Source organism: Homo sapiens, chromosome 2 (genome assembly GCF_000001405.40).
Source record: "Homo sapiens chromosome 2, GRCh38.p14 Primary Assembly".
NCBI classification, from domain to species: domain Eukaryota; kingdom Metazoa; phylum Chordata; class Mammalia; order Primates; family Hominidae; genus Homo; species Homo sapiens.
Window position 1 is genome coordinate 177,154,047 of NC_000002.12, and position 18,567 is coordinate 177,172,613.

Here is an 18,567-nt window from a genome sequence, read left to right on the forward strand (position 1 = left end):
TGAAGTTTAAACTATCATGTTAAAAAAAAAAAGTCATTTCCTTAAACAGGAAATGTATTAATAATGGCACAAAAGACAGTACAAGTCATTCTATAGAGTACAGTGTTTCCCTTCAAAAAGAAAATAATATCCTTATTCTCAAAGGGTAGTAACTCTTTAATGTAGTTGTTTTAAAAAAAATCCAGGGGGGGGAAATTTTAGCACCCTTCATCTCACATTCATATATATTTTGCTGAGTTCTGATCATTTGAAAAACTAATGTATTTCACTAAAGATTTAAGTTGAGACTATCTGAAACTTAAAATTGCATCATTATAATCTAGTTGTCACCAAATAAGTTTTATCTGCTTTCTACATATATTACTTATTTTTATACCAACATTTGCAAAACTATTTTTGCAACTGACCCAGTCTGTTAAGCATCATCATACCCCAGAAAGCTTTGCAAAGAATGAATTATTGGGGCTGCTCTGTCTATGGGGTAGCCATTCTTTTATTCCTTTTCTTTCCTAATAAACTTGCTTTCACTTTAAAGATTAAAAAAGAGTGAATTATTAAAATAGTACATTTTTGCAGACTCCTAAAGTTTTTAAATTTACTTATGGAACAGAGATTTAAGATAAAAATATTTTTAGCATTGTTTAATTTGTATTTTATTTGCTATAACTTCAGATTAGATGGTATTGGGGGGAAAACTATCAAGCAATGTAATTATACATGGGTTCAAAGTCCTAAGAGGTTACCAAACCCTCAGTATATTTTATTTCCTATTAGCTAAAAACATAGAACTTTACATTTTGGTTCAATTCACTGCCTAACTCATTTCACCAACAGGTCTGACTTTCCCATCTCTTCTTTTTCTTTCTTTTTTTTTTTTTTTTTTCTTTTTTGAGACAGAGTCCTGCTCTGGTCACCCAGGCTGGAATGCAGTGGTGCAATCCAGGCTCACTGCAACCTCTCTGCCTCCCAGCCTCAAGTGATCCTCCCACATCAGCCCCGCAAGTTGCTGGGACTAAAGGTGCACAGCACCACAACAAACTAATTTTTTTTTATTTTTATATTTTTTGTAGAGATGGGGTTTTGCCTTGTTGCCCAGGTTGGTCTCAAATTCCTAGACTCAAGTGATCCACCCACCTCAGCCTCCCTAAGCACTGAGCCACCATGCCCATTCTTATCTCAATAAAATTTCCTCATTTGATTAGAAAGGAAAACTTTTGGCTGAGCATGCTGGCTCACACCTATAATCCCAGCACTTTGGGAGGCCGAGGCGGGAGGATCACATGAGGTCAGGAGTTCAAGAACAGCCTGGCTAAGATGGCAAAACCCTGTCTCTACTAAAAATAAAAATACGGGCATGGTGTCGCATGCCTGTAATCCCAGCTACTTGGGAGGCTGAGGCAGAAGAGTCACTTGAACTTGGGAGGCAGAGGTTGCAGTGATCCAAGATCATGCCATTGCACTCCAGCCTAGGCAACAAGAGTGAGACTTCGTCTCAAAAAATAAAATAAAATGGAAAGAAAGGAAAACTTTTCCTGGAGTTTATCCTAATGACTGAAGTGTATCAATTTTAGGTACTTTTGTGTGATGAGCAGCTGCGAGGTCAATCAAAGGCATTGTCAAATCCATACTGAAATATAATAAACTAAGTTTAGTCTGTCTACTTCATAAAAATTTATAAAAACACATCAAAATTCATTAGCTAACAGATTTCCTAAAGCAAATAAAGGCTTGTATGGATGACTGCCTGTGTAGATTGATTCAATTCACTGAGTCATCAGCATGTTTATAAGTGAATGGTTACCTGAAGATGGATAAGCCAATGGAAGTCTCTTATTTTCTAGTTCAGGAAATAAGGAGGACTCTGGAAACAAATCTTCTAAAATGGGACTCCCAAGTCTCTAAAATTGTTGCTTTGCTTTTGAATGATCATTCTCAGGATCCAGGATGTAGATTATTACTTTGAAGATAGCTTTTTACTAAAAACTAGTTTGAGGAATGATTTAGAAATGCTTTTCTTTTTTTTTTTTTTTTTTTTTTTTGAGACAGGGCCTTGCTCTTTCACCCAGGCTGGAGTGCAGTGGCATGATCACAGCTCACTGAAACTTCCTAGACTCAAGTGATCTTTCCACCTCAGCCTGCCGAGTACCTGGGACCACAGGGACATGCCAGCAAACTCAGCTAATTTTTTAATTATTTGTAGAGATGGGGTGTTGCTATGTTACCCAGGCTGGTCTTGAACTCCTGGGCTCAAGTGATCCTCTCACCTTGGCCTCTCAAACTGCTGGGATTAGATTATAGGCATGAGCCAGCTTTTTGTTGTTGTTGTTGTTTGCTTGCTTGTTTGTGTTTGTTTCTAGAGATGGGGTCTCACTGTTGCCCAGGCTGGTCTCAAACTCCTGGACTAAATTCTGCCACAGCCTCCCAAAGCATTGGGACTACAGGCGTGAGCCACCTCACCCAGCCTAGAATTGTTTATTCTAAATATCTCCTTTTTAAAGCAAAGAAGATCAGTTTGGGTTTAGTAGCAGAAACAGTAAAAATGAAATTTTTACTTTCTCATAAAGCTGGAAGTTGCATAAATACATTAACATGAAAAGGCACATCTTTTTTATGTGAGTTATCTGAAAATGTAATTTTAGCCAAGAGCTGAGCAAAGGAAAACATGAAAACATCAAATCCACTTATCTAATAGGCTTGGATTCATTTGAGCTGGGGCAAAGGAGGAGGTGTTTAATCATTCTATTAAGCTGATTTGGTAGAAGTCTCAAAATATGCCCAGAGTGGCTGGGCACCATGGCTCACGCCTGTCATCCCAGCACTTTGGGAGGCCGATGTGGGTGGATCACCTGAGGTCAGGAGTTCGAGACCAGCCTGGCCAAGATGGTGAAACCCCGTCTCTATGAAAAATACAAAAATTAGCCAGGCATGGTGGCAGGCACCTGTAATCCCAGCTACTCTGGAGGCTGAGCAGGAGAATCAGTTGAACCGGGGAGGCAGAGGTTTCAGTGAGCCAAGATCGTGCCACTGCACTCCATCCTGGACAACAGAGCAAGACTCTGTCTCAAAAGAAAAAAAAAAAATGCTCGGAGTGCTGAGTGGGTATAAGAATGACTCACCTGGCTGGGCGCAGTGGCTCACACCTGTAATCCCAGCACTTTGGGAGGCCAAGGAGGGCGGATCACAAGGTCAGGAGTTCGAGACCAGCCTGGCCAATACGGTGAAACCCTGTCTCTACTAAAAATAGAAAAATTAGCCGGGTGTGGTGGTGGGTGCCTGTAGTCCCAGCTACTCAGGAGGCTGAGGCAGGAAAATAGCTTGAACCCGGGTGGCAGAGCTTGCAGTGAGCCAAGATCATGCCACTGCACTCCAGCCTGGGCGACAGAGTGAGATTCTGTCTCAAAAAAAAAAAAAGAATGACTCACCCTACCACCATTTCTTGAGCTGTTTGGTGAGCAAAGGTGCCTACTGCTTTGTCTGGTATGATATGAGGGGGATTTAAGGAATGCAGAAGTTCTTCATCCATTCAAAGACAAACAGAAGAAAAAAAAAAATTCTGTCCCAAAATAGCTTCCTTACTAATGGTATGAAATTTCACCATTTATTAAAGTAAGTAAAAGAGCAAGACTAGGCCGAGCATGGTGGCTCATGCCTGTAATCCCAACACATTGGGAGGCCAAGGTGGGAGGATTGCTTGACTCCAGGAGTTAGAGACCAGCCTGGGAAACATAGCAAGACCCCATCTCTACAAAAAATTTAAAAATTAGCCAGGCATGGTGGCATGTGCCTGTAGTCCCAGCTACTTGTGAAGCTGAGGCGGGAGGATAGCTTGAGCTTGGGAGGTTGAGGCTGCAATGAGCCATGATCACGCCATTGCATTCCAGCCTGGGCTACAGAGAGAGACCCTGCTTCAAAAAAAAAAAACAACAACAACAACAACAAAAAAGTCTATATATTCTAGGGGAACAGAGGACAAACTGGTAAAACTGTTTCACAGTTCTATCCCCACCCTGGTACAAAGGCTGATAAATAAATACCTGTCAAATGAACACATTTCCATTTGTTGCTTTTCTCTGTCAAATCTCCTTCCAGCCCATAAATGCTATTCAAAGACATTATTGAAAAGCTAAGGGAAAACATCAGAGTAAAGTGCCCTTACTTTTTTGGAATAATGGAGATAAAGGCAAATTTCCAATTTGTAACAATATTTTGGCTGGCCTGGCTATAATCTATTAAATGAAAAGGAGAGAATAAGTGTTCTAATACATGAATTTGGTTACTTAATAATGGAATACATTCTTTATCATCAAAATTTTGTGAGCCAAAATTCAGTGGCTGGCAGTGGGTCCTCGTTTTTACAAATTCCTATAAATCCTAATTCTAATCTTATTTCATTGAACAATTGGGGTGGGAGAGCTGGGTTAACTGGAAAAAAAAACCTAGCATGCAGACTTTCACTAGCCCTTCTGTATTTTCAGATTTTGTAGTAATCATATTTATTATTGGAATTGAACATTAATAGGTTAGAGAAGAACAAATGATTCTGCAGACCTAATGTTAATATTTATGAAAACTCTTACATGAATAAAGTTTCACTCCCCCATCCCAGGAGCCTGTGAGCCTGTGTTAATTTGCACAGTTTGTAACCTAAAGTCTGAATAAGGCATATTGGAATAAGTCAAATGGAGAGCTGTGCACTGTCTTATCATGCCAACTATTAGATTACCTTTTAAAAAGAGAAAAAATATATGGCAGGTTTCATTTCCACACTTCAAAGAAAAGGCAATAGTGTTATGTGAAATTCAGGAAGGAAAATTGTTTAGTTGCATCTTTGCTAACAATTTGGAAGTATCCATTGTATTACTTCTGTAATGTTATTGAGCTAGTTTTATTAAGGCAAATTTATAGCAATGTTAGAAATTAATACCACTCTTATTTCCTCCACTGCCTGACTTTATTGAATGCCATGGGGCATATTAATCAGTAAAGCCAAGTAGTGCATGAAATAAAATTATAAATTAACCTGTAACATGAATGTAAAAGGGGCTTAATAAAATAGAAATAAATAACACTTTAATGATAATCAACCTGCCCTGTCTGAGCCAAGCAAAAATTGTGATAATGCCAAACACAGAGTCTAAAGAGCCCTATATATTTATACGAAGTTAGATGGAAGCACACATTGACGTGGAAGTCGAAGATGGTAATTTTGGCTACATAAGCCAGAAATCGTGTGTTACTTGAAACATGGTACTATTAGTTCAACAGATAAACAAATGGACTGCATTAGGTAACTGTTCTAAGTTCCCGCTTTTTGTCAAATGGTTTAGAAGGAACTGTCTTATTGGGTTTCCTCCCGACTCCAATGGTACTTTTTAAAGTATACTATATGGTTTTAAAATGTATTGATATAAACTATTTTCTTGAAACATTTTTAAAATATTATATTTTACTAAAATTATTTAAATCTCTTCTCTGTAATTAGGGCCCCCTTTTGCTTCACGTTATTGTCCCTTTTCTCTTTCTCTCTGGATCAAATAGAATACGGCATTAATATATCATATCTGCAAACTGTAAAACTTTTTAGAGAAAGAAAGACATTACTAAACAACACTCACACACAACTGGTTGACTATTTTCTCAAAAAAGTGCTTTATGAGTGCATAATTGAGTCAACTATGGTACCACAGTGTAAGACACCTACAAAAGGAAATTCAGTGCTAATTTAAAACAAGTAGCCATAGAATGATAATTTCTTTCTTTTTTTTTTTTTTTTTTTTTTTTTGAGACAGAGTTTCACTCTTGTTGCCCAGGCTGGAGTGCAGTAGTGTGATCTCGGCCCACTGCAACCTCTGCCTCCCAAGTTCAGGCAATTCTCCTGCCTCAGCCTCCTGAGTAGTTGGGATTCCAAGTGCCTGCCACCATGCCCAGCTAATTTTTTGTATTTTTGGTAGAGACGGGGGTTTCACCATGTTGGCCAGGTTGGTCTTGATCTCCTGACCTTAGGTGATCCACCCACCTCAGCCTTCCAAAGTGCTAGGATTACAGGCATGAGCCACTGTGCCCGGCCTAATTTCAACTACTCATAGAAACACTGAAACAGACCTAAACTTTCCATCTTATCTCTAAATCTACATTTATATATGCCATCAAAGGGAGATCATGGTGGGGGAGAGACTTATTATGTCTTTATTATGTTATTTTGAATAATAAGCATTTAGAATAAATTATGCTCCCCAAATGTAAGATGCTATTACCAATACTCATGGAAAGAAAAGACCCATAAAGCTGGGTATTCTCCTGGATTTTAGCATTGACTATATTAGTCAAGGAAGGTGACATAAAAACATTTTATATCATATTCTAAAATTATGTGGAGAGTGACTTTTAAATTAGATCTTCTTTATTTTGCTTTCTAATGATGTTGCTAAATCAACTGAATTAAGTCTTCAAGGACCCTGTACCCTGGCACCAAATCAATCTTCCTAGAATGTAATTCCTATTATATCTCCCTCTAAAACCCTCCCTGGCTCCCACTGCCTCTAGAATAAAGTCCTAACTGCTTAGCTGCACATCAGAACTTCACAGATAGCCCACTGCTCCTCTGTATATACCCAAGGTTCCTATATCTTAGTCTCACTAGGACCCCTTTCCAATACTACCCCTTTGCTTATGATCTTCTTTCTACCCGAAGTATCTTTCCCTCTCACAACTACACATCCCATCCACTACCATCCCCATAAAGTTCTTCTCAACCTTCAAGTCCTCTTCAAATGCTATTCCTCCCTAAGGTTTTCTGATCACCCCAAGATTGCATTTTTTAATTTCAAAATGGAAAGAACCAGAAATGTCGATCCACAGAATTGTTGATTCATCATAGAATTTTAAACCTTACACTATTTTGGCAAAAAAGAAAAAATAATAATTATTCTCAATTTTTTTTTTTTTGAGATAGAGTCTCGCTCTGTCTGGCCCAGGCTGGAGTACAGTGGTGCAAATCTCGGCTCACTGAAGTTTCTGCCTCCCGGGTTCAAGTGATTCTCCTGTCTCAGCCTCCCAAGTAGCTGGAACTACAGGCGTCTGCCACCATGCCTGGCTAATTTTTGTATTTTTACAATACAAAATATATAAAATGTATGCTCAGAGATGTTACCATGGTTTATTTAGGGAGCAAAATGTAATTGAGATTGTCTGAATTATTTTACGTTACTGAAAACCTACTGACCCAAGGATCTCATCAAGCATAAGAAACCAATATTAAAGGCCACTGGGCTTCTGCGTTTTATTAGCTTTAAAATGGAAAACTAAGTCTGGCTCATATTAGAATACCCAGTGATTGCAGTAGAACCTCTCCTCACTATCACAATCTTAAAAACATATCAGATGGTACATTTTAACATCTCTTTACTTCAGAAAACAAAAAGCTGCCGCTGGAAATGCCAGAAAACAGCTGCAGAGATTACACAGGGATTTTAGCTTATTTTATTTTTTGAGAAATAATGAAATGTGAAACAGGATTTCTCTCTAGTTCAAAAAACAGGGAAAAGAACTCTTACTGCCAAGTTCTTGTCTTCTCAATTATTGTTAGTGGTATCCTGATCATTTCATATAATTAAAGAATAAAAATTGACCCTCTGTGACTTAAAACTACAACAGTCTAGCACATGGTGATTGCCCATGTTCTAAACATGTATGTTATACATGTACACAGATTGTAAGTATCTATGTTATAAACGTAAAACAACGACTATAATAATTATTATTATAATAATCCAGCCAGAGAAACCGCAGACCATAAAACAGTATGGGCTCCCCCTGCTGTTTCTACTGGTAAACTTAACTAACATTTCCGGTTGCCAGGGCTTGGTGCCCTGATTTTAAGGCTGATTCATAAACAAAGGGTAAATAAAACAAAATTAAAATACCACTAGGTCAATAAATCAGCGGTTGAGGGGAAGAGGAGAAATGGGAGTGCCAACGCATTTATTGTAATAAGGAAGCGTGAACATGAAGGTGAGTAGTGCTTGGATTCCAAAAGCTAATGAGTTTCCAGGGAGCATGAAGGCTGTCCTGCCACTGCATTTAGATTAAGAAGTTTTCCAAGTCTGACTTGCTGTGAAACTTTTCCAAATCTAAAAATCATGTAATGCCCTTGGGCAAACTGGATATGGTGCTGCCATCTCCAATCTCTGCAAGTGCGACATGTACACCGGCCCCAGCCCAACAGAGCACACTAAGGAGATTATTTTGGAGAAACCGTAATGACATTGAACAGGAGGCTAGCTTAACACCTTGCCCAAGTGAGATTCCCAAGCCTCCTCCGTGATGGCTGCTTGGAGTTCTGTAGGCTAATGAGGGGAACCATCTGTAGTACTTTGCCGGCAGATGTGTCCCCCTCATACTGTGCCAATGTCTCCTGAGGAGAGGGTCTGTCGAGGGTTCCAGCATCGCTCTGCGAGGGAAGATTGTGCTATTTCACAAGCATGTAATCTGGAGGCCAAATATTTAATTATTCGCATATACACATTTTAGTATGCCTTGTCTTTTCAAATGTGAATATCAGAATGAATGTGTGAGTTTCCTTATTTGTAAGTTTGTCTTTATGTTTTCACATTCAGGGACATCGTATGATATCCTATGGTTATTTCTTTTGCAAAAATCCTATGCACTATTTCGAATGAAAGGAGGATTTGAATCAAATGAACTACTTATTTGCTGATATCACTATTTCAAAGTCATCAGAGCAATTGCTAAAGAGAAAAATTATAAATATGTTCAGGTATGTTTCCCTTCCTTCCTTCAAATGTGTTCATTGCCATATAGAGTTACTTTCTAATTCTATAATATCAAAAAGTAATAAGAAATTAAATTCAAAAGATAAATCTTAAAATCTTAATGAGTAAATTTCAAATTAAGATGGAATGACATTTCAAAGCATTTACTTGGTAGCATATGGAAAATTATATAAGGATTATAGTAGGCATCAAAATATTTTAAGGCAACCATTAAACAGTTTTAAAGATAGACCTAATTACAAACTCAGCACTTAAAGTAGGTACTTACATACTACAAAGCTGTTTTAAGAGTATAAATTATTTTATTTTGCTGTAATTCTCAAAATTTTATGGCAATTCAACTCTAGCATTCACGTGTTTCAATTAATCCACTGTCATTGATTGAGCCTTACTAAAGTTAATTTGCTTTTTCTAAAACAAAAAAAACAGTAACAATACCCCTTTTCAGGTACTGATTTGAAACTCTTAATTGTATGAGCTCGGCTTCTATATCAAAAGACAGATAAAAGAGACATAGAGGAGACAAGGTCAACTGAAGATTTTTAAGATTTTTAACCAGGGCCTTATTACATATGAAAAGTTATAACATGATTAAAAACAAGGGGGAAATGTCAACATTTTGACTTGGTTGATAACAAGGTTAGGTGAATTTCTTATATCAAATATGCAGGCTTTAGCAAAAGTTTAAAATATGCTCAAAATAGTAGTCTATGTAAATCTCACACACCAACACCATGACCAGCTATTTTACTATCTAATGTCTCACATAGACAAGGTTTTAAATGTTATTTCTCCAACAGCATAGTAATATAAATTAGACTGAGGTAAGACTATGACAATTTCTTCCTTCCTGAAACCTCCTCTTAAATTAGATCTACCTTCCAAAAATATTATTACAAGAGTCTTGGTTCAGATTATCCTTATTCTCTATAACTGACATAAATATAGATATATGAATGACATTTAAAAAGAAAAGTTCTTCTTTATAACCTTCAGCTTGTTTTCATAATAAATTCCACCGGGAATATTAGTAATAATAATTGATTTTAGCAATAAGTAATAGAGTTATAAACAGCTCCAGCTGTTTAGTGAAAGAAATGTCTCAGCTTCAGGTTTTATTTATTAGCATTTGAAGTCCCTCCATAACCCTAGTAAGATCAGTTATGGCTTAATTAAATGAGAAAGATGGCCTGCCAAAGATTCTTTGTTCTTAAAATAAATACTGTATGTTTTCTGTTTTCCTGCAAATCATCACAGCCTATTTCTATTTGAGAATAGATAGGGCTCCAAACCTACATCTACTTCATACCTCCCAAATAAAGTCTCTTTTGCCTGGAAATTTTGTATTTTTTTCATAGTGTACCATCTACAAATACCATCTTAAGAGGTTTCTCCTTTATTAACCATTTGAGAGTTATTCATCTCAGAGTCATACGTGTGAGGAGGTAACAGAGCCTCTTCACAGTAGAAATATTTGCTACTTAAAAATGAACACAAATTTACACTTACAACATGTCCTCAGTGCTGTGTTTGTGATGAAGTTCCATAGTTATTACGTGTCCTAAGTATATGTTCAACCATATCTACAAATGAAAAACAAAACGCTAAAGATTCACTGGCAAAAGATTGAGCTGCTCCATCAACATGGCAGGAATATTTCAAATAAATGATCTCTTCTCAAATCCTTTGGAGAAATGATTGCATTTGTCTGGCCTTTCCTCTCCCTGCCCCTGCCCACCGTTTTTCTCTACTTTCATCTATAATCTCGTCTGCTCCTCTCTGGCCACACTGCAATGATTCCCCCATTATGCTGATGGAAAAAAAAAATGAGGAGGATGAGGGATAAGGGGACGCGAGAAGACCGACGCCTTCCCAGATTTGAGAGCGACAGGGCGGCTCCCCTCTCCTACCACTAGCTGGCGCCAGAGCCCTAAAGATGCAGTGATATATTGCGTCATCTCTTACTAATTAACAAAGCTGTTTTCAAACTGATCGTAGTTATTCAAGGGAAACATGAAATAATTTTGACTATGAACATGTAGTAAAGCAGCAGCATCGAGGGTGATATCCCGATGAAAATAACTCCATTTTATGCCTTCAAGCTTTTGTCTTAAAAAAAAAAAGGCAGAAAAAAGAAAAAGAAATGCATCCTTAAATGATTCGTGGGTTTTTATTTTACCCAAATAATAAACCAAAGGGAAGTCTTTTTATCCTCTACAAACTATTCACTATATATATAAAACTGTAAAACTTTCCAGTTATATAATGCTCTGTTAACCTAAACAAAGTGCCTTTTTTATTATGCTTTTAGTCTAAGACAGAAATGCCCGACACATCAGGGTCACAGGGAAAGCTACTTTACTGCTTCAGCTCCTAATTCACTCACACACTCCTTCCTCCTAACCAGCTTCAGCTTTCTTCTTCCGACCACAGACTCTCCAAGATTTTGCTTTTCTCATCCTATCCTTCCCTCTTCTTGTACAAGCGAACACTGTCCTTCCAGACTCTTCCATGGCTGCAGAAGCTGTAGGGAGGAGCCCTCGGCCAGCCAGACAAAATGCACGTAATATTGCTCACTTTAGGAAAAGATGGCTCCTGGACAAACGAGCAGCAAACAGTGCGTTTGGTTTGACGACATGAATTATCATTATGCAAGTAAGACAGAGTTTAGGTCTGGCTAGAATAAAATCTAAGGTGAAAAATTCAAGCACTGTATGTGCTGCCATAGAAAATGTTATTTTTCATTTGGGAAATTTTCCTACACATGTAGCACATTTTTATCATTAGAAAAATGAAAGACTCTGATTATTTTGGCAAGAGAAAGTACATTCAAACTTCAGTGAAATACTATAATTTTTTTAAAGAAATACTTTATAGTTTGACTTGTGAATATATTAAATGGCTGGGAATACTCATTCAAATCACATGCCCTATTACCCACCCCATGCCCTCATTTCCTCTGGGAGCTGCGGAGGTCTGGCACTTGGAAAAAGAGGAAAAGAAGGAACGGGCTTCTCTGAGCCTTCTTCTGGCTTTCATAGGCAGAAAAATATCAAGCTTTCTTTTCTTCACCCTTACCCTAATTCCTCAAAGAAAGAATGCTAAGCTTTATCTTGGGTGGACTTCCTTTACCCTACACTAAAAATAAGATTGAAACTTGTTTTCTCCCTGTATCAGCCAGATTTCTACATGTGGTTTGTCAAAGGCTGCTCCTGAACTGGTTTTCCCACAGGATATCAGTGAATCATTACCCTTTAATCTCCAAATAAGATCCCAGAAATGAACAAGAGCAGAAAGTGATCTGGAATGCAAATCAATGTTTGTTTTGATGGCCTTTTGGTTTTCTAGTTGAAATCTCCCTTAGAAATTCTTTTATTATGGCACCTGGGTGACTTTGGTCTGGGAGAGAACATTCAGAAAGTGAAAATGAAGTTTGAGGAAGTCAAAAATGCTGCATAGCAAATGACGCAGAAGCTCAATGTGTCTGCATTGTAAAGAAAGGTCAGGTTTAATCCTTTGTTATCAGTCGTAATTTTGCTGGTCCCTTTCAGGAGACATCATGACAGGGAAACTACATTAACCACAATTTGGTATGCCCTAATCTTCATGCTAACTACAGTTTTCTTTTGTTACTTACTGGCCTTGACCTTTAGATGGACGGCATCAGGTGCTACTGAAACCAGCAGATCTCTCTCTAAAGCCTAGTGCAGGCCTGAGTCATATGCAGTTTAATTCATATTCCACTCAACATGCCCGTTTTATTTCCAGTGGAAATTGCTCATTTAATTGCACTGTACGTTTTATGGGGTATGCCCCAGGCTGCGTTCTTTATGCTAGGCATTTCAGTATTTATGGGCATAGCTATACCCAAAACTTCAAACATAAAAGTAAAACCAGCAAAATATGCTCTCCTCCAGTTCCATAAATGCTTTTCACCAGTTTCATTATTTTTTCCAATGAGATTAAATGGGTGTGTTAAACCTGTAACATAGACTATTACTTGGTGTTTCCAGAGCTTCTTTTGTCCTTCATATTCAAATCCAATACAGCCCCTTTTTCCTGCTTCTGAATGAGACTGCAAAGAGCAAGTATGGTCCTTCTGTGTATGGTCTAGCGCCCAGGAACAATAAAGACTTCCTCTGTTGGTAGCCTATAGAATTTTTATCTGTGAGAATAACCTGTAAAAGGTTTTGGTGTTTTTTGTTTTTTAATGAACTGTGCCTGCTTCTAAGTCACACCTACACCCACTAAAACACTGGATTAAAGATCGAATGTGGCCGGGCGCAGTGGCTCATGCCTGTAATCCCAGCACTTTGGGAGGCACAGGCGGGCGGATCACGAGGTCAGGAGATCGAGACCATCCTGGCTAACACAGTGAAACCCCGTCTCTACTAAAAATACAAAAAAATTAGCCCGGCGTGGTGGCGGGCGCCTGTAGTCCCAGCTACTCCGGAGGCTGAGGCAGGAGAACGGCGTGAACCCGGGAGGCGGAGCTTGCAGTGAGCCGAGATGGCGCCACTGCACTCCAGCCTGGGCCACAGAGCGAGACTCCGTCTCAAAAAAAAAAAAAAAAAAAAAAAAGATCGAATGTGTGTGTTGCAAAATAAATAAATATGTCAGCCTTGTACTGCAGATGGCTCCTGTGTTTTAGGGCAGGAGCAGACAGACATATGATTTTACCTGTAGCAGATCAGAAGGCATTCCCATACTACCCAAATGCAGAAAGGGCTCTACTATGTTTTACTAAACCTATGACTGTTTTTATCTGCTGTTATCCATCCCACTATATGAAATATACGAAAGCATGTTTCCAGGAAATTCCAGAGTTTTAGACAAACGCTTCTTGATAAAAGCCATTAATGGCTTTTTAGACAGTTTAAGTAGAATGGTACAAACAGAAGCCTCATCACAGGGGTTTCAGAAAAGGAAAACAAAAAGACAATAGGTATAGAACGACTCATTTGTCTATAGATTTGGAAAATGTCATAGGGTCGAGTGAAGATATTTGCCAAATTGAAGGAGGTAAGGACATATTTAGAGCCTCTGGGAAAGATGACAGATCTCAAGGACTAAGATTTGAATGCCGGAACAAAGCAGAATAGAAAAAGACTAGAGTTGTGTTTTCAAAAGAATAGGGAATATTTCGTAGACTTAGAAGGAGCTAGAGGTGGTAGCCTGAACTTTAGGAATAGGAATTCTTAGTGATTTGCCTGCAGTGTAGTAGATGTCAATGACTGAAGGATGACTGAGGATCTTAAGAAAGATGTGGCTTCTTCTTTCTCAGAAAAGCCACAGGGAGTGACCCCTGCAAATCCTTCCGAGTATAAGGTGTACACCCAGTGACAGCCTTCCTCACAGGACATAGTTATCACAGCATTGATGTGATCATTCCTCTCTTAATTAGGATTCAGTGCAGATGCAATTGGCTGAAAACCCAAAATAACAGTGGCTTAGGTAAGATAGAAATTATAGTCATTATTGGGATTATCCACACATTCTGGTTCTCCTGCTTTTAGGGCAAATAGACTACTTGCCTACCTTTTTGAAGTTAGATATGGTATGTGACTTGCATTAGTCAGCAAAATGGCATGTGTTATTTTCAGTTCCAAGCCTTATCAGTATACAATTCACTACATTCCTTTTGTCTTTGTCAGCAATGGTGGAAGCATTGGTTGACATGGACACTGTCAGCCTGGCTTTCTGAGTACCCACAATGAGCAGAGTCCCCCTGCTGACCAGCAATGGACATGTGGTGTGATCAAGAATAAACTTGCGCTGGGCATGGTGGCTCACGCCTGTAATCCCAGCACTTTGGGAGTCCAAGGCAGGCAGATCACAAGGTCAGGAGTTCGAGACCGGCCTAACCAACATGATGAAACCCCATCTCTACTAAATATACAAAAATTAGCCAGGTGTGGTGGCGCGTGCCTGTAATCCCAGCTACTCAGGAGGCTGAGGCAGGAGAATCACTTGGAGGAGGTTGCAGTGAGCTGAGATCACACTACTGCACTCCAGCCTGGGCAGCAGAGTGAGACTCCATCTCAAAAAAAAAAATAGAATAAACTTGTTGTTTTGAGTCACGGGTTAAATTTCTTTCTCACACAAAAGTCTGAGTGGTGGGGCTAGGACTGATACAGTGATTCATGGTTTGAGGGACCCAAGGTCCTCTGTCTTGCTGTTCAGCTGTGCTTGGCATGCTCATGCTTCATGGTTACAGCACTCAAGCTTTAAGCAGCAGGAAGCAGGAAGGCATGGAGAGGCAAAGGGTGTGCTGCACGTCAAGGAAGGCTCCCAGAAGCTCTCTTCCACTTGGAAACCTTTGGCCAGAACTTGGTCCCATGGCTGCACCTATAGTTGCAAGGGAAAGGGAATCAACGAAGACTGGGTGAGGCCAGCCAAAAATTGTGGGTTATTTGACCACATAAAGGGACCCGGAGGACTGCATTCTGCCTTAACTCTCAAGAACTCCTTGTATAAATGTGGAGATGATAGGATTGCACTGTCCCTCCCCATTTTTCATAAAAATAAAGAAGTAGTGAGAATATTGATCAATGTGGATGATGAGAGATTGAGGCCACCCTAACTAATTTAGTTGTTGGAAGGGGGATTTTTTTCTTCCCCAACACCTCCGTTGGTAAGAGATTATAAGACAACCATCTTCATTATGACCTTCAACAAGATTTGAAATGGACTCTTTGTAGTCATTTCATGTACTTGCTCATCTGGCTACTTTTAAAGAAACAAATTCAAATTTCTATTATCTGCTATGATATATCATTAACAGCCCCCAAAATACAAGATACAGAGATAATAGAACGGCTGACATAATCACATTTAAGTGAGTTTGGCTGTACATTCATTGTTTCTTGCAAAGACCAGAGCTACAGAAAAATAGATCAATGTGATTAAGTCTAACATTGGGGAATTGTTTCTCCATTGTGTCTGAGCTGAGGCTGGCAGCAGGAATTAGTGCTGCTACCTTTAAAGGGTAGACCACGATTGATCTGGTTCCCAAGGCAGTCATTGAACAGACGTGGTGAAACTGGTCACAGCAGAGCTACATTACACGCAGGAAGTGCCCTACTGTTAAAAGAGTGTGCCCAGTTCAAAGCAAAGTGAAAAGCTTTTTGTTTGTTTTAGTTTCACATCTAAGTTCATTTTTGGTCACCATTCCTTAAATAGAATTTTTTTTCATCATCAAGCATGGGTCTTAAGCATTTTTGGTGAGCACTACACATAGACCAGGAAGGAAATAGAATCCGACACGCCAAGGACTTATGGCCCAAGATGTGGAGAGGAGAAAGGCTGACCGCTGAGTATATGGCAACTTTTGTACCAAAATTTACCATTAAAAATGCAAATCAAAAGAGAACCTGAGGCAGGCAGTGGCACAGTGGCACTGTGCTCTCCCTCTCTTTTCCTGGACCTCTGCAATACTTCTTTGCCTGCTTCCTCCCTTTATTTGTATAGTGGAAAATCTGTTGTCCATTGCTGGAGTTCAAGCATGCCTGGGCATGTTTGTCAAACTGGCAGGGCAGGCCTTGCAGAGGCCTCGAGGGGCCCTTGACAATGGACTCAGACTGGGTGTGCTACTTAAACATATCCAGACAAGTCAGGCAAATGAGTAGGGAGTGGAGGAACAGGGTATGTGTGAGATGTGGAAAAGTGTCCCAACAAAAAAAAAAATCACTCTTGGGGAAGAGGGAGAACCTCAGCTGCATGACATGAGGACTGATTTATTTTCACCTTTCAAAATCATTCTTTTTTTTTTTTTTTCAGTCCTAGGAAATTGGGTCAGAATCTGCGTATCTAATGGGATCGTTACTGTTACACTTGTAAGATTTGGAATCCGTTCAAAAAACAAGCCAGAAACAAGCCTTTGTATACGTTAGGAAAAGATGCCCTGCATTAGAGCCCGGCCAAGGGAGAGATGGGGGCAGGTAACTGCAGTCCAAAACTGAGCAGCCACTCCTAGAAGCTCTGCTTGAAATTCATGCTGTTAAGACAAGCGACCAAAAGTATTTAACTCCTGCATTGACCTAGGCACCTCTCCTCCCAGCAGTTACCTGGGAAAGATACTCAGAATCAATGAGAAATGGGAAATCAAAGAACCTGCTATGGACTGAATTGTATCCCCTCCAAAATGCATATCTTGAAGCCCGAACCCCAGTGTGATGGTATTTGGAGAGGTGACCTTTGGGAGGTATTAAATAAAATTTACATGAGGCCATTGGTTTGGACTTGTTGCCAGTAAACTGAGTTTTTTCCCCACTTTGTATTGATGGCAAAGGAAGAATGTCCAGTTGGAAAAGGCAATCAGGTTTTATTCACTGGCCAAGAAGGAAGAAGGGGAGGCTCTCGCTCTAAACGCCCCTTCTCCCTGAACAGTAGAAGTTATGGGTACTTTAGGGACTGGGTATAGGGAGGGAGAGGGATGTTAGCATGTGCAGGGTGGGACTCCAGACACACAGGCTTAATTCAAAAACATACATCTTCATACAATGCATGTACAGAAAATGGAAGAGATTTTTCTTTTAGGGGAGGGATTTTAGCATTATAATGATATGTTAATGATCTGAAGGCAACTAGGGATCACTGTTGCAGTTTGCGCTGGTTAGCAGGTCTTATCTCCTTCTGGTATCTTGCCAGGGGTCAAAAAGCTCTGGCGCCATTCTGGCCTGTCTGGTTTCTTTAAGCAGCTGTGCCTATAAATAAAGCGACTAAAGGAAAGCATTTAAAAGAGGAACTTTCCCAGTTATTTCATCAGGGCTGCCCCAGTAACAGACAGCTTCTATGCCAGGCCCCAAAAGGCTAGACCAAAATGGAGTCACTCATGCCACATAATCAAACTAAAACTTTAAGGAAGCAGGGAAAACCCCAAACAGAGTGTTATCCCGAAAACAGAAGGTTCACAGCTACCAATCAGAAAGGCCCCAGTCAACCTGAGCTGGCAAGAAAAGGAAGTTCCCTCTACTTTAACCCTTACAAGGAAAGGTAACCTGATGAAGTAACCTGATGTTAACCATTCCTCTTTCTTAAAAATTCTTGTTTGGCTGGGCGCAGCGACTGATGCCTGTAATCCCAGCACTTTGGGAGGCCAAGGTTGGAGGATCACTTGACTGCAGGAATTTGAGACCAGCCTGAGCAACAGCACGAAACTCTGTCTTTATTATTTTTTGAAAAGTATATTTAAAATTTTTTTAAATCATTGTTTCCTTGTTCCCACCTTACAAAAATAAACTGCTCTGTCATGCCCAGCAGAGTGCCTTTTCTAAATTGTTAAATGAGATGCTCTCTTATTTGTGAATTGCTAATAAAAGCCAATCTGATCTTCAAACTAAATTTGTTGTAACTTTGTCTTTTGGCAGAGGTGATGAGGGTTTAGATGATGTCATGATAGTGGGGCCCTCATAATGGGATAAGTGCCCTTATGAGGGAACAGCAGAGAACTTGCTTCCTCCCCACCCCACCCCAGCCCCCATGTAAGGGTACAGGGAGAAGGTGGCTTTGCACTAGACAGGAAAAGAGCCCTCACCAGGGAACCAAATCAGCTGTCTCCTTGATGGCTTGGCTATCCCAGCCTCCAGAATTGTGAGAAACAAATTCCTATTGTCTAAGTCACCCAGCCTGTGGTATTTTGTTATGGCATCCCTAGCTGACTAAGCCAGAACCATACACCTAAAATCCCAATACAGAGATCTCTGGCTAATAGGCCAAAGTACACAATTTATACTCTAAAGGGGTTCTCTCCCTCCCCTTAAGCCCAAGCCCAGTT

General features: G+C 39.6%; 1 long non-coding RNA gene across 1 annotated transcript in view, besides 4 other annotated features; it reads right to left on the reverse strand.

Annotated features, from left to right (window-relative positions):
• The window catches only part of LOC105373760 (uncharacterized), a 101,257-nt gene extending 89,793 nt beyond the window's left edge, over positions 1-11,464 (reverse strand). Inside the window, exon 1 of the long non-coding RNA XR_001739795.1 lies at positions 10,302-11,464. This is a non-coding gene — a long non-coding RNA (uncharacterized LOC105373760). The remainder of the gene's footprint in view (positions 1-10,301) is intronic.
• Positions 12,755-13,273: an enhancer, noted in NCBI's record as "H3K4me1 hESC enhancer chr2:178031529-178032047 (GRCh37/hg19 assembly coordinates)". NCBI's record gives its function as "activates a minimal SCP1, AML or CMV promoter by ChIP-STARR-seq in naive H9 embryonic stem cells {active_cell/tissue: H9 hESC(naive)}" and the evidence as "EXISTENCE:reporter gene assay evidence [ECO:0000049][PMID:30033119]".
• Positions 14,275-14,569: an enhancer, noted in NCBI's record as "tiled region #4751; HepG2 Activating DNase unmatched - State 5:Enh". NCBI's record gives its function as "activates a minimal TATA promoter and a strong SV40 promoter by Sharpr-MPRA in HepG2 cells {active_cell/tissue: HepG2}" and the evidence as "EXISTENCE:reporter gene assay evidence [ECO:0000049][PMID:27701403]".
• Positions 15,454-16,653: an enhancer, noted in NCBI's record as "MED14-independent group 3 enhancer chr2:178034228-178035427 (GRCh37/hg19 assembly coordinates)". NCBI's record gives its function as "activates an origin of replication core promoter dependent on BRD2, BRD4, P300/CBP and CDK7 cofactors, and independent of MED14, by STARR-seq in HCT116 cells {active_cell/tissue: HCT116}" and the evidence as "EXISTENCE:reporter gene assay evidence [ECO:0000049][PMID:35650434]".
• Positions 16,232-16,401: an enhancer, noted in NCBI's record as "active region_16795". NCBI's record gives its function as "activates an Ori minimal core promoter by ATAC-STARR-seq in GM12878 lymphoblastoid cells {active_cell/tissue: GM12878}" and the evidence as "EXISTENCE:reporter gene assay evidence [ECO:0000049][PMID:35858748]".